At 44.6% G+C, this 26,210-nt stretch overlaps 1 protein-coding gene across 7 annotated transcripts in view, besides 1 other annotated feature; it reads right to left on the reverse strand.

Moving 5' to 3' along the window:
- Nucleotides 1-26,210, reverse strand: part of RUVBL1 (RuvB like AAA ATPase 1) — an 89,130-nt gene that overhangs the window by 20,263 nt on the left and 42,657 nt on the right. For 6 of the 7 annotated variants that reach the window (NM_001319086.1, XM_017007357.3, XM_011513249.4 and 3 more), the window contains exons 4-9: nucleotides 19,726-19,877; nucleotides 16,512-16,601; nucleotides 15,548-15,697; nucleotides 13,835-13,898; nucleotides 12,253-12,451; nucleotides 2,659-2,761 (exon numbers count right to left, since the gene is read on the reverse strand). In NM_001319086.1, coding sequence (NP_001306015.1) covers nucleotides 2,659-2,761; nucleotides 12,253-12,451; nucleotides 13,835-13,898; nucleotides 15,548-15,697; nucleotides 16,512-16,601; nucleotides 19,726-19,877 — 758 coding nt within the window. Of the gene's footprint in view, nucleotides 1-2,658; nucleotides 2,762-6,428; nucleotides 6,536-12,252; nucleotides 12,452-13,834; nucleotides 13,899-15,547; nucleotides 15,698-16,511; nucleotides 16,602-19,725; nucleotides 19,878-26,210 lie in introns of all 7 variants that reach the window. The other variant, XM_011513248.3, reaches the window with a different exon arrangement.
- Nucleotides 15,165-15,684: an enhancer, noted in NCBI's record as "NANOG hESC enhancer chr3:127819055-127819574 (GRCh37/hg19 assembly coordinates)". NCBI's record gives its function as "activates a minimal SCP1, AML or CMV promoter by ChIP-STARR-seq in naive H9 embryonic stem cells {active_cell/tissue: H9 hESC(naive)}" and the evidence as "EXISTENCE:reporter gene assay evidence [ECO:0000049][PMID:30033119]".

Genomic DNA, 26,210 nt, shown 5'->3' on the forward strand with positions numbered 1-26,210 from the left:
CCACAGGACCCTCGTTCTTGGAGCCTCCAACACTGGCTATTGCGAAGCTGTTGTATGTTGTACGTAGAGGACCCTAGAGGGTACCTATGAAGCACACAAAGCTATGAATACAGTAATAACAACAGCAATGGGAAGGATGGGAGGGCCCGTTATTGCCAATACCTCACAAATCCTAATGACAATCTTGCAAAGGAGGGAGGAGATGTTCCATTTAACAGAGAAGGTGAAGGCTCGGTGAGATGCACCAAATTGCTCAAGTCATTCAGTAGGCAAATGGTGTCTCTGGCCCTGAACACATCTGTGCTGGGCTGCCTTTTTTGGCAGGACACATGGGGTTTTGGACCCAACAGTAAGGTGCTATGTCCCGCAGTAAGAATGGGCCAGTTTTCCAAGAATTGCCTGGGACTGTTTCTGCTTCTGCCTCCGTTCAGTGAATGCCTTGGCTTCAACCTGGCAGTCACCCTTGCAAGTCACCTGGCAAGACACCCTTACGTGGCGATGAGGCCCCCGGCCATTGACACCATCTCCTAGGTAACATATACAATTGCTACTATGAACCATAACTGCTTCAGTAATTTGCCAATGCTGGTTACAAAGGGAGATCTGTGACTCTCCTGATGCATCCCCACAGCACTCCTGCATGCGGTAAGAGATGCTGGCAGGCCCAGGCTGGGCCTCCAGCCACAGGAGAGCAGCAGAAGTGCCAGGAAAGGCCCAGGAGAGGCCCTGACTGCTCCAAAGGAAAGGTCCTGCTCACAAACTGCCAGAGGAAAGCCACCTCATGAATCCTAATGACAATGAGATGAGAGATTTCTAGCAGGAGGGAAGCTGGGTGGCACGGTGATTAAGAACACGGGTTTCCGGATCAGAAAGCCTGGATTACAGCCAGTCCCATTACCTGCTAGCCACTGACTAATGTTATGAACTTGGGCGAATTAGTTACCCTAGGTCGCAGTGTCCTCATCTGTCTTTTTTTGAGACAGGGTCTCACTCTGCTGGAGTGCAGTGGCACCATCACAGCTCACTGCAGCCTCGACCTCCTGGGCTAAAGCGATCCTCTCACCTCAGCCTCCCAAGTAGCTGGGACTACAGGCACACACCACCACACCTGGCTAACTTTTTGATGTTTTGGTGAGTAGGGGTGTCACTATGTGGCCCAGGCTGGTCTCAAACTCCTGAGCTCAAGTGACCCTCCAGCCTCAGCCTCCCAAAGTACTGGGATTACAGGTGTGAGTCACCATGCCTGGGCAATGTCCTCATCTTTTAAAATGGCAATGACAGTAGTTCTCCCTGCCTCATGGGTTACTGGGGATCAAATGGAATCAAACTGGCCAGGCATGTCCTGCTCAACACGATGCTCAACAAAGATGCCATGCTCTGGTGAAAAGACAAGGTCCAGGCAAAGCGCATCGAGACGTCACTGCAGCCCCAGTCTGCTCAGCATCTCCAACCATGGCTGCATGCCAGAGCCCATCAGAAGAGAACATTTGGGGCAAAGGTGGGCAGGGCAGAGGAAAGAGCACAGCACATGCTGCCTCGGAGACACCAATTCAGGGTATGTACCACTGAAGATGGCCTGGGCTCTACAGGGCACTGCCTGGCTTTGCATCCTGCACTTACAGCTCCATGACTCAAATGTAAAAAATAAAATAGATGGTGATCACATGGAATACCTGGAAATACCATGAAGGTGACTAGAAATTCCTAGTCCAATGGTATTCCTATGCTTGGCACATAGTTGTGCTCTAGCTCCAAACCAAGCAAGAGGCAATTCCTACAGGGACAACTGGGACTGTGGCCCTTTGGATAAAGCCCACGCTCATACATCCCTGTCGTCTCCCAACTCAGCCTAACCCAGATTCAGCTCACGCAGACTTCAGGGCATGCACGGTGTGCCAGCCACTGAGCTAGATGCTTCCAAGGGTCCTCCAATGAAGCCTCTTATTATATGATCAGTTTCACAAACTCCCTCCTTCAGGTGCTCTTCTAAGCTGTATGATGCTGTCTCGCCATCACCTCTGTGGACTTGGCAGAAGCCCTCAAGGACTCTATTGCAAAGCCACAGACCTGCCCAGGGGCGGCCTCCAAAGCTGCCGAGAAACTTGTCATGCTGTTTACAGCAGACAGGCTCTGCTAGGACACAAGCACTGGCCTCTTCCAGGTCAGGGTGGCTACATTCTGTACCCTGCTGGAGCTGGCTTGCTGTTGGTTCAGGTGGAACAGCGAGCCTGGCCTTGTCCTCTGAGTAGAAAAGGCCACAGGCATATTCTGGCCTGGTCACCAAAAGGCTATCACTAAATCATATTTTATTGCTTCCTTTTTATAGAGCTGGTAGCCTCCCTAATGGCTATCATCATGTTGATTTTTTCACTATCCTTTTCCTAAAGCTTATCAAAGGGGGAACAGCAGAAAAGCGAACAGCCAAGACAGGGAGCTGAGCTTCTGTTGACACTTGGGGCAATGTCTAGTTAGACCAATCCATCTTTCAGATGGGGAGACTGAGACTCTGGAGTAATGTGACTTGCTCGAGGCCAGTAGCTAAGTGGTGAGATGGTGAATGGCAGCCAGATCCAAGCCGCAGATACCTTTCTGCACAGCCACCAGTGAACACTGGGAGCAAATGAGAGAAGAGAGCAGGAGGGAAGAAGGGAGGCTCACCTGTTTCATTTCCTGTGGAGTATACAGCATGGTCCGGATTATCATCACTCGGTCCAGAAGGTCAAGAGGGATGCCGTGAGGGGATGTGATGTCCTCAGTGCCTCTGTAAGGGGCAAAATTAATCCCATCACCTAAGCCTCTGTTAGACAAGAAACGACACTGGAAATACAGATCCAACACTCACACCACAAGCAGCTGGCTAGGCAGCCTAAGAATCAGAGCCAGGACCAGAGTAAACAGACTAACCTCCAGTGGCATAAAAACAACTTCAGGCTAGGCGCAGTGGCTCACACCTGTAAATCCCAACACTTTGGGAGGCAGAGGCCTCCCAAAGATCACCTGAGGTCAGGAGTTCAAGAACGGCTGGCCAACATGTTGAAACCCCGTCTCTACTAAAAATACAAAAATTAGCTGGGCATGGTGGTGCACACCTGTAATCCCAGCTACTCAGGAGGCTGAGGCATGAGAATCACCTGAACTCGTGAGGCAGATGTTGCAGTGAGCTGAGAGTGTACCACTGCACTCCACCCTGGGTGACAGAGTGAGACTCTGTTCCAAAAAGAAAGAAAAAAAAAAACCAACTTATTTATCTTGGTAATCATCAATATCATAGCAAAACTGGGAAGGAGGAAAAAAATAACTAAAATCATACTCAAAAATAATCATCTAGATATTTGCCAAACATTCATATATAAACAAATTATATAGTATAATATACAGTATATACTATATTATAGTATATACTAATTATACTCTATAGTATAATATATAGTATATACTAATTATGCCCTATAGTATAATATATAGTGTATACTAATTATACTCTATAGTATAATTTTACAAATTATACTAAGTATGCAAGTTTTTTTTGTTTTTTTTCATGTTGCTTCAGTCTCCTTGTTTTGTTTTGTTTTTGAGACTGGGTCTTGTTCTGTGGCCCAGGCTGGAGTGCAGTGGCATGATTCTAGCTCACTGCAGCCCTGGACTCCTGGGCTCAAGGGCTCCTCCCACCTCAGCCTCCCGAGTAGCTTGGAGTACAGGCGTGAGCTACTGCACCTGGCTTGCAACAGTCTTAATAATTATGTTTAATATTTACTTAACAATCCATTAAATATTTTACTTAACCCAAATTGTTGAGCATTTAGGTAGTTTCCAATTGTTGCTATTATTTTTATTGATATTTTGATAATTTGATGCATACAGCCATAAGCATTTCCTTAGCAACTGTTGTAGTGCTTGACAGAACCCTGAATAGCTACTTGAATGAATAACTATCCTAATTTATAGAGCTACACATGAGTTATCTAATCTCACAGGATCATAGCACTACCGAGTATTCTCATTCTGAAATATTTTGCTATTTCAACAGTTTAGAAAAAGAGGGAAAGGTAACACCTTAAGTTTGCATTTCTTTGATTACTAATGAGGCATTTGAATGTATTCCCTTATATATATTATTTTACTTCTTTTTGAGAAGGGTCCAATCCCATCTTTTGCCTATTTTTCTCTTGAACCCTTAGCCAAGCCATAGGAATAACACCCCAGGGAGGAACCTTGCCAACCCACCAGACCCTGAGGTGCCCTGCGCAGCCACTGGTGGCACATGGGGCCAGCCTTCAGCTAGTGTTTGGAGGGCCCAAGTGCTGTAGGCTTCTGCCTTGGCCTCTGGGGGTCCTAACAGCAGAAAGGCTACACTTCTGGCATTCTTAAACTTGTGCAGGATTGTACAGTCTATGGTTATAAGTAATCAATATAACAAAGAATTAGTCATGTCAACTGGATTTGTTAGTATCTGAATATTTGGTTTCAAAAACAAGTAAGCATGCTAAAAATTTAACTTTAGTAAAAATAAAATCTACCTGTTTAAATTCTATCCAGTTGAGGTATAAAAATGCATATTTATGACTGCAAAAATAAAATGCAAACAAAATACATGCTAGCACAGGATGAACCCTGAAAACATGCAAAGTGAAATAAGTCACCGACAAAAGAACAAATATTTTCTGGTTTCTTTATAGGAAATATCTATAGTAGGCAAATTCATAGAGACAGAAATTAGCCAGGCCTGGTGGTGTATGCCTGTAATCCCAGCTACTCCGGAAGCTAAGGCATGAGAATCGCTTGAGCCCAGGAGGAAGAGGTTGCAGTGAGCCAAGACTATGCCACTGCACTCCAGCCTGGGTGACAGAGTGAGACCCTATCTCAAAAAAAAAAAAAAAAAAAAAAAAAAAAAAACACAGAAATAAATGAGACGTTACCAGGATCTAAGGGGAGGAAGGGTTGGGACTTCATGCTTAATGGTTACAGAGTTTCTGTTTTTGAGGTGATGAAAAAGTTTTGGAAATAGTGGTGATGGTTTTAGAAATAGTGGCGATGGTCATGCCACCCTGTGAATGTCATTAATGCCAATGAATTGTATGCTTAAAAATGGTTAAAATGGCAAATTTTATGTTACACACATTTTACCACAATAAAAACAATTCAAAAAGAGAATAAAATGCTACATTAATGAATTGTTAAATCTAATGTAAAAAAATTAAAATCAGCCGGGCGCAGTGGCTCACGCCTGTAATCCCAGCACTTTGGGAGGCCAAGGCGGGCAGATCACGAGGTCAGGAGATTGAGACCACGGTGAAACCCCGTCTCTACTAAAAATACAAAAAATTAGCCGGGCGTGGTGGCGGGCGCCTGTAGTCCCAGCTACTTGGGAGGCTGAGGCAGGAGAATGGCGTGAACCCGGGAGGCGGAGCTTGCAGTGTACCGAGATCGTGTCACTGCACTCCAGCCTGGGTGACAGAGTGAGACTCCGTCTCAAAACAAAAAAAAATTAAAATCTTCAAAGTAAATATGGAAACAAACTAATAGGAAATACAAGTATTAAGTTAACTTTAGAGAAAACTTATCTTTTTCCAGCAACGAATGTCTTTTTAAAATTAAGAAGAATTATAAAGATGAAATTCTATCATGATTCAAATCTCAGTATTTGGTGTGCCTGGAACCTTCACATTAAGCAAAATAACCTTTTAAAACTACATTTAATTTTTAGTTTTTTAATTCTATTTAGGCCATAAGTGTTTTTTAAGTCTTATTTGAGAATTCTTTTGGTAATTTTGAGGAAATCCTAAGATCTCAATTTTGCCACATTAAAATATCCCAAGGACAAAAATATCCAAAATTCTACACCACCCATGATAAATCACAACAAACATAAAAAGTTTAAAGAAGAAAAGGTTAGAGAAAAATAAAGTACTCCCAAATCAAACTTCACAAGAACAGAATTTATAGAAATGCATTAATAACATTTCTTATAGTTTTTAAAGTCTATTAAAAGGCTACCAAGTGGTAAAAAGGAATTTGAGGAGAAAAACAAAAGAAAAGGCTGCTGAGGACTGCTAAGCATTTTTCAGGAATTAAAGACCAAACATTTCTGAGATTTGTCCAAGCTATGAATCTGAAGTAGAAAGTTTCTTCTAGAAACCATATTAGTGGGAGACGGTTCTAGTCAGTGATGCTGCTGAGTGGGCTGGCTGAGTGGAGCCCTCATGTGCCAGCAGCGGTGCTAGGCCATGTGCTGACCTCAGCAGGAGCTGGGGGAACGGGGGGTGGGGAGGATCACAGTTTAACAAGGCAGCCATAATGGTAATGTTATAAAACTGCTAATAAGAAGCTGGATAATAATTACATTTTGGTCAATCTGCAGATTTATTCTTGCATCTTAGAAGTTCATTTCTGGCTTTGGCCTCAGTCTACTATTAATTTTAACATTTTACCATTCAGCAATTGTCCAAACTCGGCCATTAGTGAGCTTCCTCCAGATAGACAGTTTGGAGCTATGAAGCCACAGACCCAAATCTCCTTGGAATCCAATACAGCGTATCTATAAAAGCAAGACAAATATACTTCTGGAAAAGTATCCTATAGATATACCACCACATGTGCAACATGGCTGACTCATTTGTGACTACTTTCCTCTTACAATAACTGTGACACTGTGGATGTTTTGGACCAAATTAACTCTTTTTGAAGGGCTGTCCTATGCACTCCAGGATGTTCAGCAGCATCCTTGGCCTCTACCCACTAGATGCCAGCAGCACTTCTGAGTCATGTTAAGTAAAAATGTCTCCAGACATTGCTACATGTCCCCAGCGGAACAAATTTGCCCCTGGTTAAGAATCACTACATAAATGCTTCTTTATGTAATCCTGTAACTACAGGGACACGGATAACACAAAGCTTTTCTGCTGACAGAAAGCACAGTAAAAACACCTCTCTGGGTAATGTGATGGGTAACTCACCTAATATCCACTTAACCTTGGCTCAGTGGACACACAGTAAGAGTGCTAAAAAGACAGCCATTTGATTTTCTGATGAGGCTGCCAAAACAATTCAATAAAAAAAGAACAGTCTTTTCAACAAATGGTTCTGGGACAACTGGATATTCACATGCAAAATAATGAAGTTGGACCAACCCCTTACTTATGCCCTACATGAAAATTAACTACAAATGGATCATAAACCTATATATAAAAGCCGAAACTATAAAACTCTTAGGAGAAAACACAAGCATAAACATTTGTGATTTTAGATTAGGCAATGGGTTCTTAGATACGAAACCAGAAACACAAACAACAAAAGAAAAAACATAAATTGGACTTCACTGAAATTTAAAACTTCTGTGTGTCAAAAGACACTATCAAGAAACTGAAAAGACAATCCAAAGAATAGGATATTTATAAATCATATATAAATGATAAAGATCTAGTATCCAGAATATATAAAGAACTCTTACAATTCGACAACAGAAAGACAAAGAACCTGAATAAAAAATGGGCAAAGGATGTGAATAAACATTTCTCCAAAGACAATATACAAATGGCCAATAAGCACATGAAAAGACGCTCAACATCCTTAGTCGTTAAGGCAATGCAAATCAAAACCACAATGAGATATTACTTCATTACCCACTAGAATATCTATAATCAAAAAGACAGACAAGTGTTGGCAAGAATGTGGAGAAATTGGGACCTTCGTCCATTGCTGGTAGGAATGTCAAATGATGCAGCTGGCTTTGGAAAACAGCTGGCAGTTCCTTGAAAGGTTAAACAGTTACCACTGGACCCAGCAATTCCACTCCTAGGTACATAACCGAAAGAAATAAAAACCATGTCCACTTAAAAATGTTGTACATAGGCCAGGTGTGGTAGCTCACAGTAATCCTAGCAGTTTGGGAGGCTGAGGCAGGAGGATCCTTGGAGCCCAGGAGTTCAAGACCAGCCTGGTCAACAAAGTGAGACCCCATCTCTACTTTAAAAAAGAAAAAGAAAAAGAAAGAAAGAAAAAAAAAGTTGTACACAAATGTTCAGAGCACCATTATTCATAATAACCCAACAACCCAATGTCCATCAACTAATGAATGGTTAAATAAGATACACTATTAAATATTCCATATAATAGAATACTATTCAGCTGGAAAAAGAAATAAGTACTACGCATGCTACAGCATCATGCTAAGTGAAAGAAGCCAGTCACAAAAGACCAGATTATATGGTGCTATTTATACAAAATTTCCAGAAAAAGCAAATCTATAGAGACAAAATTGATTAATGGTTGCCAGTGGATGGGGGTAAGGGTGCAGAAGGGGACGATGACTATTGATGGGTATAGTTTCTTTTTGGGGTGATGAAAATGTTCTAAAATTGACCGTGGTGATGGTTGCACAACTCTGTGAATACACTAGAAATCACAAAAAAAAACTGTATTTTATATGAATTATGTCTCCATAAAGTTGGTTTTTTTTTTTGTTGGAACACTATCTGCCACAGGGTTACACTGAGCAGAGTCCATACTGTTTCTTAAGTCTTGATGTTTTGGTGCAACAAAGTGACTTTCAGTGAGAAACTCCTACAAGAACTCCTAATCCCAGGGAGCTATACCTCAATATGAAGAGAAAATCTCCCAGTTTTCAAGCTGGGATCAGTGCTGGGCTCTCATCTAACAGTTCAGGATCCTGAGCCTGGAAGGAAAGGGACTTCTTATGGTGGCAAGTTAGGGAGGAGCCAGGCAAGAAGGCAACAGAGCTTTGCCTCCCTGTCATCCATGGATGGACCCTTCCCAGAAGGAGCCTGGAGCATCAAGAGGACCAGGGACAGGTGCTTCTTCTAGAACGGCTCCCACATCAGCTGTCCACAGGGAGAGGTGACCTAAAGGACTTGGGGGCTGCTTGTCAAGGTCAGGAGGGGCTATGAAGAGGCTTCATGCCTTGCTGGGTTCTCAGAGATCCCTGAGGCCAAGCCATGTCCACAGAGCAGACCAGGCAGGGGCATGAAATCAGCTTCCAAGAGGGCAATACTCTAGGGCTGGCCTGGGTGATAACTTTGCACTCACTTTTTCTACTCTTCACATAATTCTGCAAAAAAGGTGCTGATATTCCCATTTCCTGATGAGGATGGTAAGATTCAGAGAGGTCAAGGAACTCGCCTGGGTCATGAGCTTCCACGTGACTCCAATGCCTGTAATTTTTCCATGTGGGAACCAGGCTTGTGCTGAAATGCATGCTCCATAAAACACAATGGCCATCAGAGAGTGGGCTCACTTCTGAGGCTCAATCCACAAGGGTCATTTACACAGGGAGGGGTGAGCGGCAAGAAGCCGAGAGGGAGCGTACACTACCTGGGAAAGAACACTCCTAGGAGGCTGCATTTTCACGGCAATCTGTTGTCAGCATCCAACAGTTCCCCACTGCCACCTCCAGGCAGCACCCCGTCAAAGCTCCATCCCCGCTCACAGCCCAGGGTCCACTGGGAAGCGGTGTGGGAGAGCAGTGAGAGCATGGAGTTTGGACCCAGACGTTCCTCTGGGCTCAGGTTCCAGTGGCAACACTTTCTAGCCTATGGCCTGGGCAGGTAACCTCCCATTTGAGTCTGGAGATAACCTCAACTGCTCACAGGGTTGTCAGGGTGTCCTGGGAGGACATGAGATGGCCCATGTAGAGTGCTCTGTATAGTTTCTGACACACAGGAAGCCCTCAGTTAGTCACCTCCCTTCCCCCTCTCTTTCCTTCGGAGCTCTAGAGATCAGATGTGGTTCTGGGGGGTAAGGAAGCCCTGTAGTTCCCCTCTAGGGGTGGAGTCTGTGGGAAGCATATCAGATGGCTATTATTGTTGGCTATTACTTTTTTCATTACCATGTTGACATTATTATCACCACTACAACAAATTTCCTACTAGAACATAGTGCCAAAATTCTCTTCCAAAGCAAACAACCGAATCTGCGTTACCTGAGCCGACCTGCCTAAAAATCCATGTTCTGAGTGTCTTCCTTCCACTTGAGTAACTACAGTCTAGCAAGGAGTCTCCACAACCTCTAGCAGCCCTTGATCAAATCAGCCCAGATGGGGCTGGGGCCAAATCTCCCGGGTCTCAGGCTGACCAGAGCTTTGTCTCCACTGAGCAGGTTCTGAGATCAAGGCCACCTTTCTGTGCACCTTAGTCCTGAGTGGGATGGGACTGAGAGACCTTACTTCTGAGACGAGAGATGCCAGGCTCTGCAGGTATGGGCTGGGCTGGGTTCCCTACTGTGGAGGGAGGGAAGCCTATTAGCAGAGCTCCCCAGCAGGGGGCACCATCTGTCCAAGGCTGAGCCCTTTCACCAACTGCACTGTCAGGCTTCAGCCTGGCCTAGCCAAGGCTAAGCAAGTCCAGACAGCCACAGGCATGCCAGGCATACCAGCCATAAGGCCCACATGCATCTGTCTCCAGAAGCTGCCCAAGTAGCCATGCTGGATCTGGCACACACTTTCTCTCCAAGACTTAGGAAGCACTTATGACAGTGGTCTTGTCTAGAGAGCATCACGGACGGGGATTCAGAGTAGCTACAAGATGCTGCCACATGGACTTGAATCACGCATTCGATTCCTAATTGCAAGTGAAAGAAACCGCCTGAGGGGGAAGGGCTGTTGCTATACTGCAGTGCTCACAGCACTACAGAACCCCCATTGTGGGGCTTACCCAGAGCCAGCAACACCAGAGTTTGCATGTTTTGTTTTTTTTTAATTATTTTTAGAGATGAGGTCTCACTGTTGTCCAGGTGGGAGTGCGATAGCTATTCACAGGTGCAATCATTGCACACTACAACCTTAAACTCCTAGCCTCAAGCAATCTTCCCGCCTCAGCCTCCCAGAGAGTACACTACAGGTGCATACCACTGTGCCCAGCTTGGACAGTCTTAATAATAAAGCTTCTCTATTAAAAGCAAACTAAAATCTTAGATAGGGCCCACCATCATTCAGAGCTGAGTTAGGCAAATCAGCAGTTTTTATTTCAAACTCAGTTTGGCTCCAGCTGTGTCCTGAGATACTCATGGGCCACAGGGTGTCTTTCTAACTCCCACTGCCTCCACTGCCCTGAGCATGCAGCCTCAGGGACTTTGTCCCCACACTACTCTATTGCAGGCTTGAAAACAGGCCCCTCATCACCCACCTTTGTGCCCCCAGCACTGCAGAGACCAGGCACTAATGTTTAAACAAGATCACAGAAAACCAAAAGAGCAATAAAACTACCAGGTACTGGGAATACTGACACTGGGCTTGAGAGATGGGAAGATGGGGTGTTCTCCAGGACCACGAGCGTGGAGAGTGCTTAGGAGAAAAAGCAACCGCAGGAAAGTTCCTGGCCCAGCTTTGGGCCAATCTTGGCAGGATGAGCACCGTATGAACACTTGTCTTCCAGGGGTCAACATCTGCCCTTCCCAAAGGCAGGCCAAAGGGATGGGAAAGAGTGGAGCGGGAGGATGGAAAGACACCAGTGTGGTTCAGAGGTCTGGGATAGAAAGAAAATGCTGGGGCCGGGCGTGGTGGTTCATGCCTGTAATCCCAGCACTTTGGGAGGCTGAGGCGGGCAGATCACGAGGTCAGGAGATCAAGACCATCTTGGCTAACACGGTGAAACCCTGTCTCTACTAAAAATACAAAAAAATTAGCCAGGCGTGGTGGTGGGCAACTGTAGTCCCAGCTACTCGGGAGGCTGAGGCAGGAGAATGGTGTGAACCCGGGAGGTGGAGCTTGCAGTGAGCCGAGATCGCGCCACTGCACTCCAGCCTGGGCGACACAGTGAGACTCTGTCCCCAAAAAAAAAAAGAAAGAAAATGCTGGTTTTGTTATCAGAAGGAGCTGGGTTCTTATCCTGTCTTTACGATGAGGGACAAGTTATGATTCCAGTTTCCTTATTTGAAAAATGACGCCAATAATGCCTACCTCTCAGAGCGCAGATGAAGACTGAAGACGTTCATGTGTATAATGTCATCAAAGGCTAGCCCTGTCTGATCTCACCTTTGTACACTCCAATTGAACGACCAAATTGTAGTATCACACCCAAAAGATCACGTGGGAGACCCTCCTCATGAGTGACAGGACAGCTGCTGCCTTTGGTGACTAGGGAAATGAGGCCAGAGGCAAGCCACTTGGCACATTTTCCCTCAAAAACAACATGACCTCCCCTCATCCCTGTCCCACCTCATGGGGTTTGGAGAGATCCTGAGGAACAAATGAGCCCAGATGGAAGTTAAAAAAGCCTTGTGGCTGGCAGGCAGCCATCCTACCTGATGACACAGTTGCCTCGGTTGGATGCAAAGATGACGATGGGAGCGATAGAAGACTCCAGGGCGCGGTGCAGGTAGGTGAAGCACTCAATGTCCAGCATGTGGACCTCATCAACAAACAGCACACCCGGGACCAGCTCAGCAATGCCCTGGTCGATGTACTTGTTCACCACCTTATTAATCTCCCCTCGAAGTTTGTCTAGGAGATGCAAGGATGGGCAGGCAAGGTCAGCACAGGGCTGGGGGAGACTATCGCCTTTTCTCCTCCACCTGAATTCAATCCAAACCCATGCTAGGAGCCTAGTTTTCCTACTAGCTATGTGATCCCAGACAGGGTGTGTCCCCACTCCAGGTTTCAGTGTCGTCATCTGAACACAGTGATAATCACACCTAAAAGGTCACAAAATTGGCAGCCTCCCCCAAAAGATGAGTTTGGTTAAATGTAAAAAGGTTGCACAGGTGTTCTGCATGGGAATCCCTTCACAGCACACGCTCACTGCTGTCACACTCCCTACCATGCCTTATCACTTCCCACATACCCAATCTAGCTCTGTCTGATCTGGGAGACATTGGAGTTTGGGAGCCCTGGGTGAAATGAGTTTTCACATGCAAATTTACCTGTTCTATACTCAGTAAATGACCCTTTCTTTTGGTCCCATACAACAATGCTTAGGTTAATTAACTTTCAATCAAGTGCCTGGACTAAGGAAGTGGGTGCTTTTAGAATCCTGAGCAGAAACCTTTGAGGAATGAAAGGCTCTGAAGAAAGGCCCAATCTCAGAGCTCCTAGAGGGATGAGTCTCTCAAAAGTTACATAACCCAGCTAAGGTCTCAGTGCTCATTTTCCAAACCAGCTCCTGTGTTATCATCAGGAGGGAGCAGCTCACAAATAGAAAACTGGAAGATCTGAGGCAGCGTCTTCCACCAAAGGCAAGAGGCGGGGATTGTCCAAAGAGGATGCACACCGAAAACCGTGTGAAAAGAAAGAAACTGCTTCTGACAACTCGAACAGAAAGGTCTCAGATTGCTGCCCTGGCTTAAACTTTAAAGACAATATTTGCTTTAATGTTTAACTAACATCTTAAGGTGACGAAACTGTAGGTGGAATTAGAAAAAAAACAGCAACAGGAAAGCTGGGAAGAGCAGCAGGTTAAATAAAGGTTCACAGGGGAGCAGCAGCAGTGTCCCCTGTGGAGCTCTGGGAAGTGCCCACAAACTGGGCAGGGCAGTATGTGGAGCTGGTCTGTGGAGCTGCCCTGTGCTCTACTAGGGAGGGGGCTGACAGCCCCAAGGCTCCAGAGCCTGTGCTCCAGCAGAGCTGGGCGACACAAATCCCTATTTCTGGGGCCTCATAGGGGCCAGAAACTGTGACTGCAGTGGGGCAGATAGCACACAGTGTGCTATATGGCTGCCTAAATGCCGCCAGAAACTTAGGCTAGAGTCAAGCTCTAAGCTATGAGGAAGAAAGAACTGTTCTGAGGCATTTCCTCAGGGCGACTGTGCTCACAGAGCCGCAAGAGCATCTCAGAATGTGGGGCCCTCCGCCCTGCCCCTTGCTCACAGGGCACACTGGTTCTCCTACCTGTGATTTCTGTCTTCTTTGGCTTCATTAGCTGGCCCATCATGGACAGGATATCTTGTCCCCCCTGCATAAGAGAAGACTTAGAGTCAGTGCTGCTTTCTAAGGTGACTACAGAAGCCTCATCCCCCTGCATCCCACTCATCAACTCAACATGGGATCCTGAGGTATGGAGACCCCTCCTCAAAGCCTGAGGAGCTTCTAAACACAGAGGAATTTTTAGAGGTTCCCCTAACCTGTAAGAATCAAACAAAATCCTTTCATGGCAAGTATAAGCTCCGTGGGGCCTGCCCAGCCTCCTTTTCCAGCCCTATCTTTTTCCAACCCCTTGTTCCTTGATTAGCCACACAAGACTACCAGCCCTGCCCTGGACACCCCCAAGCTTTTTTATGACTCAATGCTTTTGAGTCTATTCCATCTGCCAGGAATGCCATTCTCCTTCCTAGAAGTTCCCAGTCATTAAAGTTCACGTCAAATGCCCTCTAGGGCGCATCTGACCCTAACCGGACTCAGGACTTCCTCCAAATGTTCCTGTGCCTTTGGGGACACATGGACTATAAGAGTAAGTATAAAGAGCAAGTATAAATATACCATGATTATATTGCTGTGCCTCCTCTCACTAGATTTGACCACAGGCTTGCATCAGCCTAGTCCTTACTTAACTTGGAGCTGATCATGGCTGACTCCATAACAGGTTCACCACTCACCTGCATCCTCCTGCGGGCTCCTAACAGTGCAGTCAGCAAGAGGAAGAGGCTGGTGTTTGGTCATTTATTCAGCATTTAGTGATCACCTGTTGGTTACCAGGCCCTGAGACACAGAAGGGCTCACTAAATGCTGAATAGCTAAAGGCAGCAAATGTTTCCTGTCTGGTCCTCAAAACTGCCTTGCCAAGTAGGAGGGAACTCAAAACCGAACCCCAAACCACAGAAAACCCAGAGACCCAAAGTGACAAATTAACCAAGCTGGTCAGTGATGGAGCAACACAGTTCCTGACTTCTGACTCCCAGCCCAGCACTCTTCTCAGGTCAAGGGCTCCCAGGAGGTCAGTTTGGGGATGGCCATTTCACCAACCAAGGGGACCTGTTGGTCCAAGATGAGTCTTCAGTAATCTCTTGACCAAAGCTCCAAGGAACAAAACACCCACGGATCAAATTTCAAGTCAGAAAACAAACTATTCCCTAATAGTGACTATTCACTATTTCCTAGAAATGTCATATAGTGATAACATCCTTTCCTGCACTTTACTAGCCAAGGCATAAGTATCCATCTGTATGAGAAGCAGACAACAGTACCAGCTCAAAGCTAAAACACTGTGGCTTTTGCTAAGCAGGGGGAAAGAAAGAGCTTTGTTAGGCTTTCTGAAATCCTGTAAAGGGCTCATAGAACACTCCTGCCCTCCTGCCATTAACACCCAGAAAATCCCAGGTGTGAGCCCACTGCTGGAGTGAAGCCATGGAGGAAGCTGGCTAGCTCAGGGCCAGAGGCTTGGCTGGGATAAGAAACAATACACATGAAATCATCTGTGACTAGAGCATTTGAATGGGAACAAAGGAGTCCCTCGTAGCTCATGTCGATGTTAATTGCTGAACATTACAGATAGAAAAGGACCGTCTACCTCAAGAAAGGCAGCAAGACTCTGACAATTCATTCCCAGATCTCCACACACATACAAAAGGGCTAATGTGCCAGATCACCCAGGCATCGAGGCAGTACCTGGGGCCGCGCATTAGCCACATCCAAGTCATGCAAGGTCACATCTTGGATGATTTCTTTCTTTTTGTGCACATCCCCTTTTGGCAAGGGGACATACTCTTCAGCTTCAAGGTCGAATTCTGTGGCATAGGTATCACACCTGCCCTGCCTCTGCAAAAAGAGAGAAACATGAGTGCCTGGTAAGTTTTCACTGCCAAGTCCCCAAATGGCACAGGGCTAAGTGAGATAAAGGTCTCAGTTCCCACTGCAGGCCTGACAGCCTACTTGACAAACTCCAAATATGCCCCACTCCCCTGCTGCCAAGAGAAGGGAGCTATCTGCTCATCGCTGGGCTCCAAAAACTGGGTTGAAAAACACCTGATACTTTCTCCCAAAATCCTTTTTCCCTTCTTTCTTTTAACTGTATGCAATTCCTGATAAAGGCCAAATCCAGTAGATTAACTGGAGGCAGAGGAGCTGCTCAGACTCTTTTGTAGGTGGATGATTTATTGTATGATATGAAGTATTATGCCCATCCATTAAACAGTGAGGAACACTGTACAGGACCCTGAAAATCAGATAGAAAAGAATGCCAACGAATGCAGCGTTCCTTCCCACATGCATATATCTTGGGAAGAAAATACCAAAGAGATAAAAGGAAGATTAAATACACTGCACATTTCAATTTGAAAGTGACTAAAGTTGTTTTGGTTTCTCACCCTGTCCTCCCCCTCTGAACAGGTTTTAGTATTTTTTCTAACAGACTATCTGTTTTAATCGCGAGAAGGTTAAAGAATGAAGATAAAGGGAAGGCAAACTTTATTATACATAAAGGGCCACTAGTTGACCTTCCATCAGCCTCATAACAGACACCAGCCCCTCCCCACACACCCCACACCCTCTGAAGAAAGCAACTCCCTTGTCACTTAGGTCTTCTCATGGCAAACAAATCAGGGACAATGCTGTGTCCCAAGGAAGGCATTACCTTCACGGCCCCACTGTTGGCTTCAATGTAAATCACATCTCCAGCTTCTACTCGCTCTTTCTGCAAACTTTCAAAAATGCTGGGGTCCAGCTAAAAAAAAAAATGTAAATCAGAAGTGTAATACATATTCCATTTCCTTCTGACACCATGTAAGGTACCTTTCCGTAAGGGATCTGAGGTAGCTAGCAGGTGCATGGAGAAAGCCTGTTTTGCGTTTGCATGAATACTGGGACCTGCAGGAGTGTGAATGCATAAGTACCACACAACAGACTGGCTGGGGGACTAAGCACACCAGGGAGAAAATAGGGGGGCCAGCATACCTGCATCCCTATGTAACGAGCATGAGAGGGACACAGGGGACACGTACTCTCCTCTTTCCCTTGATTCCAAAGGCTGTAAACTGGCAGCAGCGCTTTTATAAGGATGGTCCTGGCTGCCGTGAGACGGGTGGGCCCAGCCCCCACTGTCCACAGGACCACAGGCCCTATCACCCCTCTTGAAATCATCATCCCTACTTCACTCCTTCATTTGCCTCACCTCAGGTGGGGTGGAACTTTCCACAACTGAAGTACCTGCCAGCACCTGCTTACCAATCTCAAAGCTGGCATCTTGCAGGGCCTTTGATTTTGGATAAGGTTCTCAGTTCTAAGTTTCCTCATCTATACAACAGCACCCAGGTGCAATCACAGATGTATACAGTAATTCAAAGAAAAACATAAATGAGAATCTTTCCCAAGCCTTTTGACTCACATCCCAGTGTTTGTGCCCTTGGGTCTGCCTGCTTATATCTCCAGGAAAGGAAATAAGCAGATTTGCGGAACTGTTGCTTTTCTCCAGATTCTGGTGACCCTCAGTGATTAATATTCTAGGACAGCTGCCTTTGTAAGGATTCTATAGTTAAACACAAGTTTCTCGAGGTCTTCATGGAGATCTATGTTATACAATGTAGCTATGGTGGAAAAAAAACTTGGGCTTTGCCCAAACAAAATTAAAAAGTGAAAACCCAGGACTTGGTGAAAGAAGCCAGATACAAAAAAAGACATACACTGTATGTTCCATTTATATGAAATGTCCAAAAGAAGGCAACCGAAAGTAGATTAGTAGTTGCCGAGGGCTATAGTTGGAATGGGGAATGACTGTAAATGAGTAGGAGGATTCTTTTTGGGGCGATGAAAATGTTCTGAAATTAAGATTGTGGTGATTGTACAACTGTGAAAATAAATTAAAATTCCTGGAATTGTATACTTAAAATGGGTGAGTTTTATTTAAAATGCTATCTGAATAAAGCTTTTAAAAAACTACCACCACAGCAGCAAACCCAGGGTTCTGCCTCTCCTTAGCTGGGTGGGGACGGCAGACCCTGGCAGAACTGCTGTGAGTCTGTGCGCCTAAGGACAAAAGTGGGTGAGGCCCCCAGGTAAGGCCTGGCAGGAAGGGGTCATGAGTACTAATGGCATTCTCGTTGCTAGAACTCAGAAGACTCCTTCAGACTTGAATATCCACCAAGTATTTGAGCACCTTCTATCCAAATATCTTGTACATATTCTAAAAATACCTAAAAGTATTCATTTTGGAAGAAAAATTTCATCTTCTCCTCTACATTATTTTTGTAAAGAAACTGTACAAAGCAGTGTTACAAATAGCTGAAATTTAAACTGTACGCCTTATTTTATCTGTCCTACATTGGAGAATATACTTCTTTTTTGCCTCAAGCATTTTTATATCGGTTAATTTCCCAAATGAATTGACTGAAGATGTAATTACTGGAAAGGTGGCAGATGCTACTGAGAAATCTAATTAATTCAGAATGGAAGTGACGAGGGGTAGGTATAAAAGAGATATTTGCAGAGGCAAGTTCCTGAGATGGAAACCCTGTTAGGAAAAAGAAAAATGGCCCTTTGAAGAAGTGACATTTTTATGATCTCCATAAAGCAGTGACCAAGAAACAACCTCAGAGAATCAAAGAACCATAAAATCGTAGAACAGAATAAAAATGGAGAAATTATATGGTCAATCTCCTGCAGTTTATAGATGAGAAAACTGAGTCCCAGAGAGCTCAACTGACTTCCAAAGGTCACACAGCAAGCTGGTGGGCAGACAGTACAACGGTTAGGACTCAGAGGGTCAGCTCTGCCACATGACTGGCTGGATGATCCCAGGATAACCATGTAACCTCTTTATGAGCCTTCATCTGTTAACATGAGGAAAACTATACACACATACACACACGCAAACATATACACATATAAAGTTATGAATGACAATAAATGTTTGTTGAAGCACTTAGTCCAAGGCCTGACACATACAATAAATGAGAGCTATAATGATAATATTTATTAATAATAATAAGGCAAAGCCTAAAATCCAGACTGCTCCATTTCTCCAAGTGAAGGCTCTCACGATAACATTAACAGCTATCATTCATTAGGTAACTAGGTGCCACACCCAAAGCCATAACCCTGAAAGACAGGCAATTATTATTCCCATTCAACAAATAAAGAAACTACTACTCAGAGATTAATGCCACACAGTTGTAAGTAACAAAGCCAGGGATTCCTTAAGGACTTAGACTCCAAAACTCATGCTCTTCCCCTAGAAACTCTACTGCCTCCATCCTAAAGACTTACAGGACAGGTGGCTGAGGACTGTCTTTGAGCGCTATCCAGTGTCACCATTCTGGCCTCTCCACAAAGCCCTGTACTAAACAGAACCAGCCACTGAAGCGACCACAGGTTCCTGACACAAGCAACTGCAGTCAGGATTCTGCATGTGGCCCCTGGGAAGCCCATCCATCATCTTTATACAACTCTTATTTGATTACTCAATGCTGTTTCTTTCTATGAGCATGGGCACTGATAACTGGAAAAATTAATGCCCAGGTTCAGACCCAGCCCAGGGTATTTGATGCATGGTCATAATATGGGACATGGGATGGCAGAGGCAGTTTCTTGACTTAACCACACAGCTCACATTTTAACATGCAGAGTTTCCTAGGAGTAAGTAAGAAAAGAGCTATCTTCCTTGAGTCCTCCTATGTGCAAGCCCTATGCTAGGTACCGCTTTATACACACAATATCCTCAACCAATTCTGTGAGAAATCAATACCTGCAGTGCACAGGTCAGGAAACTGGGATGCAGAGAGGTTACACCACCTGCCCAAAGCCACACAGTGCTGGGAGAGTCAAGGGAAAAGAGGCCACATACATGTACTCACTTTCAACTGTTTGGTTCCTTTGGCTGTTTTGAGTCCTATGATCACATGGCTAATGGTTTTGCCATATCCTCCCATGGGATTCTCTGTCTCACACGGAGTTAGCTCTGTGACTTCACCTTCATAAACTTCCTTGGTCTCCTTTATTCGCAGCCCTGGAAGAGGTGGCAGAGGGGCCATGGTGAGAAGCAGAATCTTTTCTCTCACACTGAGAGCCCAAAACTTCCATGTCACCAGAACTGCCAAATCAACCTTAATAATGTACATTCCAGGGTGTCATGATGGGTAAAAAGGCAATACAAACATATCAATGTAAATTAGAGGCACTATTAGAAATGCAACTTTTTTTTTTTTTTTTTTTGAGATAGAGTCTCGCTCTGTTGCCCAGGCTGGAGTGCAGTGGCACGATCTCGACTCACTGCAACCTCTGCCTCCCCGGTTCACTCCATTCTCCTGCCTCAGCCTCCAGCCTCCCGAGTAGCTGGGACTACAGGCGCCCGCCACCACGCCCGGCTAATTTTTTTGTATTTTTGGTAGGGACAGGGTTTCACCATGTTAGCCAGGATGGTCTTGATCTCCTGACCTCATGATCTACCCTCCTCGGCCTCCCAAAGTGCTGGGTTATAGGTGTGAGCCACCACACCCGGCCTAGAAATGCAACTTTTTAAGGGAACTTTCTAGGTTCAAATCCAGAACTAGATAGACAAGTTATAATTCTTAAAATTGTCTGCTTCATTTCCAAGGGGGTGAAATTTACCTTTAGCCTTTAATCCAGTCTCTGAACCCACACTATTCTATTCCACCAGAACAGTGGCTATCAAAACTCCTGTAGCCTTGTTTCCTGAATTTCTGACTCTCAAAGGAAATCTTAAAACCAGTGGAATAACTCATTACACACCCTCTGACACTATGAAACCTGAGCAGAACATACTAAAATAATTAGGTATCTATGTCAACAGTGGGTGACACTCAAAACTGCCAGGTGTTATGGGCCTCTGGCTCTCACTGCATACTCCAAGAAGAAATACCCAGTTGTCATGCATTATTTGCAATGTGTTGCTCTACAATTTTCTTTCTTTCTTTCTTTCCCTTTTTCTTTTTTTTTTTTTTTTTTTTTTGAGATAGAATCTCATTCTGTCACCCAGGCTGGAATGCAATGGTGCGAACTTGGCTCACAGCAAGCTCCGCCTCCCAGGTTCAAGTGATTCTCCTGCCTCAGCCTCCCAAGTAGCTGGGATTACAGGCGTGCACCACCACATCTGGCTAATTTTTGGGGTTTTTTTGTACTTTTAGTAGAGATAGGTTTCACCATGTTGGCCAGACTGGTCTTGAACTCCTGACCTCAGGTGATCCACCCACCTTGGCCTCCCAAAGTGCTGGGATTACAGGTGTGAGCTACCATTCCCAGCTGCTCTACAGTTTTTCTAAGGCCATAACAACAAAACCAATTTCCAAAGCACCTTACATTAGAATATTGCAAATAAAGGTAAATTTCTCTCTGAATTCTAAACATCATCCACATTAGCTCTTTAATAAACGTTTGTTCATTATCCAAGAATCATTGTTAAATTAACTTTTAGAACGTGATCTCTATGTTCATTACATGCTTTTGCATATAACGGTTCTGCTTCCTGAACCACTCTTTTTAGCTTAGGCAACTCCTCCTAGCAGACTCAGTTTAAAACGTATCCCCCCCCCCTTCACACATTCTTCTTCCTCATCCTCCAAATTGTCCCCATGGTGACCTGTGTTTCCACTGGCACAGCAGCAGCCCACGGCAATGCCATAACTTGCAGACCTTGCCTACCCCTCTGCAGATTGCCCACACCTGAGCTGAGGGCACAGCACATAGGCAGGTAGAGTGAATGGATGAATGAATGAAGTCACTAAGAGTGAAGGGGTTGTCATTAGGCACATCATCTACTAATAATACCCAAGAAACGAACCTGCAGATACATTTACATGTTCTATATGGTAATGGCCTGAGAACTCTAAGGAGTCAGCCATGTAATGTTATAGCCTGTATCACCGAAACACCCTCAACCTCAGCACTAAAAGCCAGGCATAACTGAACTGTACTGTTAGAAATCAAGACTACCATTAACTTGGGGAAGGAAGGATGGCAACTGGGAGTGGACATCAAGGGTACCTTGGAGTTCTGGCAACATTCCCTTTTTTGATTAGCTGCTGGTTTCACGGGTTTTTACTTTACAATAATCCACCAAGCTATGCATTTATGTTCTGCACACTTTTCTGTACATATGCATAAAATTACCAAGTCTACTTTAAAAAAAAATTTTAAGTAAATAATACCAGTGGGACCCGGTGAAGTAAGACCACTGATGGCCTAAGTTTACGAAATACTGCTCTAAATCTCCGCTGGAGCCTATGGTCATGGTTCTCAACCTTTAGGTCCACCTGAGGGGCCCCTATAATGAATCACGCCCTGGCTGTACCCAGACTACTTGCTTCCAAATCCTAGGGGATGGGCCCCTGCCATCACTATTAGTTTAATATTCCCCCCATGATTCCAAAGTGCAGACACAGTTGAGATCCAGTTATCTAAAGAATAAATGAAAAACTATTCAACTCACAAATGTGGAGACATAAACTAGTTCTGATGGCAGGGTGGCTTGATAAGGATTTGGTGTTCTCACCATTAAGCTACCTCCGTTCTGATATGGAAATATTCCAATGGCACTAAGAAACACTACCTATAGTGTCAGGTACGCTCTGTAACTTCTCACTTTTAAATGTGGTCATTATCTTATCATTGGGCTGTTTGCCTTCTCTACCCCAGAAACCCAGTCAGGACAAAGACTCTCAGATATTAAAGTTAAGGAAAAGTTTTACTCTACCTTCATTCTATCTGATAGCCTATAAATGGAAGTTTTGGAATAGCCCCAAAAGAGAGGACCCATTTCATTTGTGCTTTACCAAATTCTTAGTTCCTGAACATTAATCTTAGACAAAAATTCTCCAAACAACACGAATATATCAGAACACTGTGGTAAACTGGGAAAATCCTGTACTTTTAAAGTGAACTTTGATTTTTTAAAATCAAACCTTTTATATCCCACAGCGATAAATTCCTTCAAATGGAATGCTTACTTATATTTACTGCTAGATGAATGTGGCATGAAATTCCTCAAGGAGGGGAAGAAAGACATTCCCGTCTCTCACTAGCCCCCACATTTGTTTAGAAGTTGCTCTGTGCTGACAAGCTGGCAGGGGACGTGGGTGACGGACAATGAAACCGGCTGTTAGCCAGGAAAGGGGCTGAGCTGGCGCTATCTCTGGCAACGACAACACAAATGACACAGGTTTCATCTGCTGGCTCAGGTTTCTATATCCCTGACAGGGACCTTCATCACATCAAGGAAATAGCACAGACTCCCTGCTTTTTATTTCTGGTCGGCTTATTGCTTCCTCCCCACCCCCTCTCCCAACTTCACAGAATTCAAAGGCAGAGGAAGATGGGCAGGGTTCCTTTTTGAAGATAGTCAATGGCCTGCCTTTTTATTCTCTGGTAGGATCAAGAAATTTTCTTTTCACCTCGCTGCCATCAAAAGAATGGTACTACTGTCCCCTCCCCTCAAAAATGGCAAATTACAAAACAGATGCCAAGGAACTTATCTCTATTTTTCTGAATTTTAAAGCATTCAAGTTACCTTTAAGCAATGCAAACACATACATCCATGTGAAAGCCAGTTTTCACAGATTTTATCAATATCAGAAAAACATTTTTTAAGTAAATAGAACATTTAAAAAAAATACTCAGGGACCAGACACGGTGGTTCACGCCTGTAATCCCAGGACTTTGGCAGGCCAAGGTAGGTAGATCATTTCAGCCCAGGAAACAGATTGCAGTGAGCCAAGATCATGCCACGTACTCCAGCATGGGCGACAGTGTGACACCTTGTCTCAATTAAAAAAAAAAAAAGTACTCAGACATTTGAACTAGTTGTAACATCTTACTGTTCATCTCATCTTTATTATGAGTTAAATAAAACCATGGGCACATGTTTAAAAAAAAAATACTCAGAAGATTTTAAACCTTAAAGGAGTCCTGCGAGTCATTTCCACTGCTATTCCAAATACAACGTAAAAATCCACAAAGTACACTGCATGTAATCACATGGGCTGAACCTTACAGATATAGACGCTGAGCTAAAGAAGCAAGACACAAGGAACACATAAAGTATGATTTAGATAAACTTTAAAAAGGGCAAAATTAAGCCCCATGGTTTAAAGATACACACATGGGGTGTACAAGGTTATGATGATCACATAAACCATTCCCACACAATTATGGCACATTGTGGGTCCCACCTAGGAGAGGAAGGGGTTGTGACCAGGGAGGGACACATGTCTGAGGTGCTGGCCGTGCTCTGTTCCTTCGGTGGTGACGGTATAAGCCTTTACTTCATAATTAATTAATGTTTTACATCCTTCTCTATAAGTTTGTAATACCTCTGTTTAAAACTGGCACTGGGATGGGTGTAGTGGCTCACTCCTATAATCTCAGCACTCTGTGGGGCCAAGGCAAAAGGATTACTTGAGGCCAGGAGTTCGAGACCACCTGGGCAACATAGTGAGACCCCATCTCTACAAAAACAATTTTTTTTTTGAGATGGTGTCTCACTCTGTAGCCCAAGCTGGAATGCAGTGGCGCAATGTCACCTCACTACAACCACCAACTCCTGGGCTCAAGCGATTCTCATGTCTCAGCCTCCCGATTTTGTTTTTGAGACAGGGTCTCACTGTTGCCTGTGTTGAAGTGCAGTGGTGTGATTTCAGCTCACTGCAGCCTCGACTTACTCAGGTGATCCTCCCACCCCAGCCTTCCGAGTAGCTGGGACTACAGGCACACGTCACCACACCCAGCTAATTTTTGTATTTTTTGTAGAGACACAGTTTCACCATGTTCCCCAGGCTGGTCTCGAACTCCTGGGCTCAAACAATCTGCCTGCCTTTGCCTCCTAAAGTGCTGAGATTACAGGCACCACCATGAGCCATCAGGCCTGGCCTCTCTGTAAATTTTTTTTTTTTTTTTTTTTTTTTTTGAGACAGAGTCTCTCTGTTACCCAGGCTGAAGTGCAATGGCATAATCGCCACTCACTGTAACCTCCACCTCCCGGGTTCAAGCAATTCTCCTGCCTCAGCCTCCCAAGTAGCTGGGATTACAGGCGTATGCCACCATGCCCCGCTAATTTTTTGTATTTTTAGTAGAGACGGGGTTTCACCATGTTGGCCAGCCTGGTCTCGAACTCCTGACCTCAGGTGATCCACCGGCCTCGGCCTCCCAAAGTGCTGGGATTACAGGCATGAGCCACCGCACTCGGCCTACATACAGTTTTTAAAAAATTAGCTGGGTGTGGTGATGCACACCTGCAGTCCTAGCTACTTGGGAGGCTGGGGCAGGAGGATCTCTTGAGCCCAAGGAGTTGAGCCTGCAGCGAGCTATTGTTACACCACTGCACTTTAGCCTGGACAACAGAGTAAGACCCTGTCTCTAAAAAAAATTTAAAAAGAGAAAAATGTTTTAAAAATAGATAACTTAAATAAAATAGGCACCAAACCCAGGCATGATGGTGTGCACCTATAGCCCCAGCTACTTGGGAGGCTGAGGTGGAAGAATCACTTGAGCCCAGGAGTTAAAGGCCAGCCTGGGCAACAGAGTGAGACCATGGCACTAAAACAAAATAAAATAATTAAAATAAGCACCAAAAAATCCAATATTTCATGGTAAAAATAATATATTTCCAGTCAGAAATACTTTGCAGTTTTAAAAATATTCAAATCGTGGCACTGAGGAAGTGTTAAAATTATAAAATAAAAATAAATATATTCCAAGTAACACAAAATTTAGCCTCTGGACACAGTTCATAATCTCTCTGGTTTAGAAAAACAGTCACAAACTTCAATGCTTATGGGGACCTGGTCAGAAGTACCCGCTCAGCTCCGCCTGCTGTGGGAAGGAAAGCTGCTTCAAGGAGGCAGAAATGAGCACTTTATGACACTTCCCTATTGCTAAATATTGACAACTAGCTCCAAATTTATAAAAAATACTTCATAAACCAAACAACATATGTCTATAGCCCAGACATATTTTTTAGCTAAAGACTTCTGTTTTCATATTTTTTAGCTAAAGACTTCTGGGATTACAGGCATGAGCCAGGCACGGTGGCTCATGCCTGTAACCCCAGCACTCTGGGAGGCCGAGGCAGGTGAATCATGAGGTCAGGAAATCAAGACCATCCTGGCCAACATGGTGAAACCCCATCTCTACTAAAAATACAAAAATTAGCTGGGTGTGGTGATGCATGCCTGTAATTCCAGCTATTCAGGAGGCTGAGGCACGAGAATCGCTTGAACCCAGGAGGCTGAGGTTGCAGTGAGCTGAGATCACGCCACTGCACTCCAGCCTGGCGACAGAGACTCTCTCTCAAAAAAAAAAAAAAAAAGGCTTCTGTTTTCTAACTGCT

Source organism: Homo sapiens, chromosome 3 (assembly GCF_000001405.40).
Source record: "Homo sapiens chromosome 3, GRCh38.p14 Primary Assembly".
NCBI classification, from domain to species: domain Eukaryota; kingdom Metazoa; phylum Chordata; class Mammalia; order Primates; family Hominidae; genus Homo; species Homo sapiens.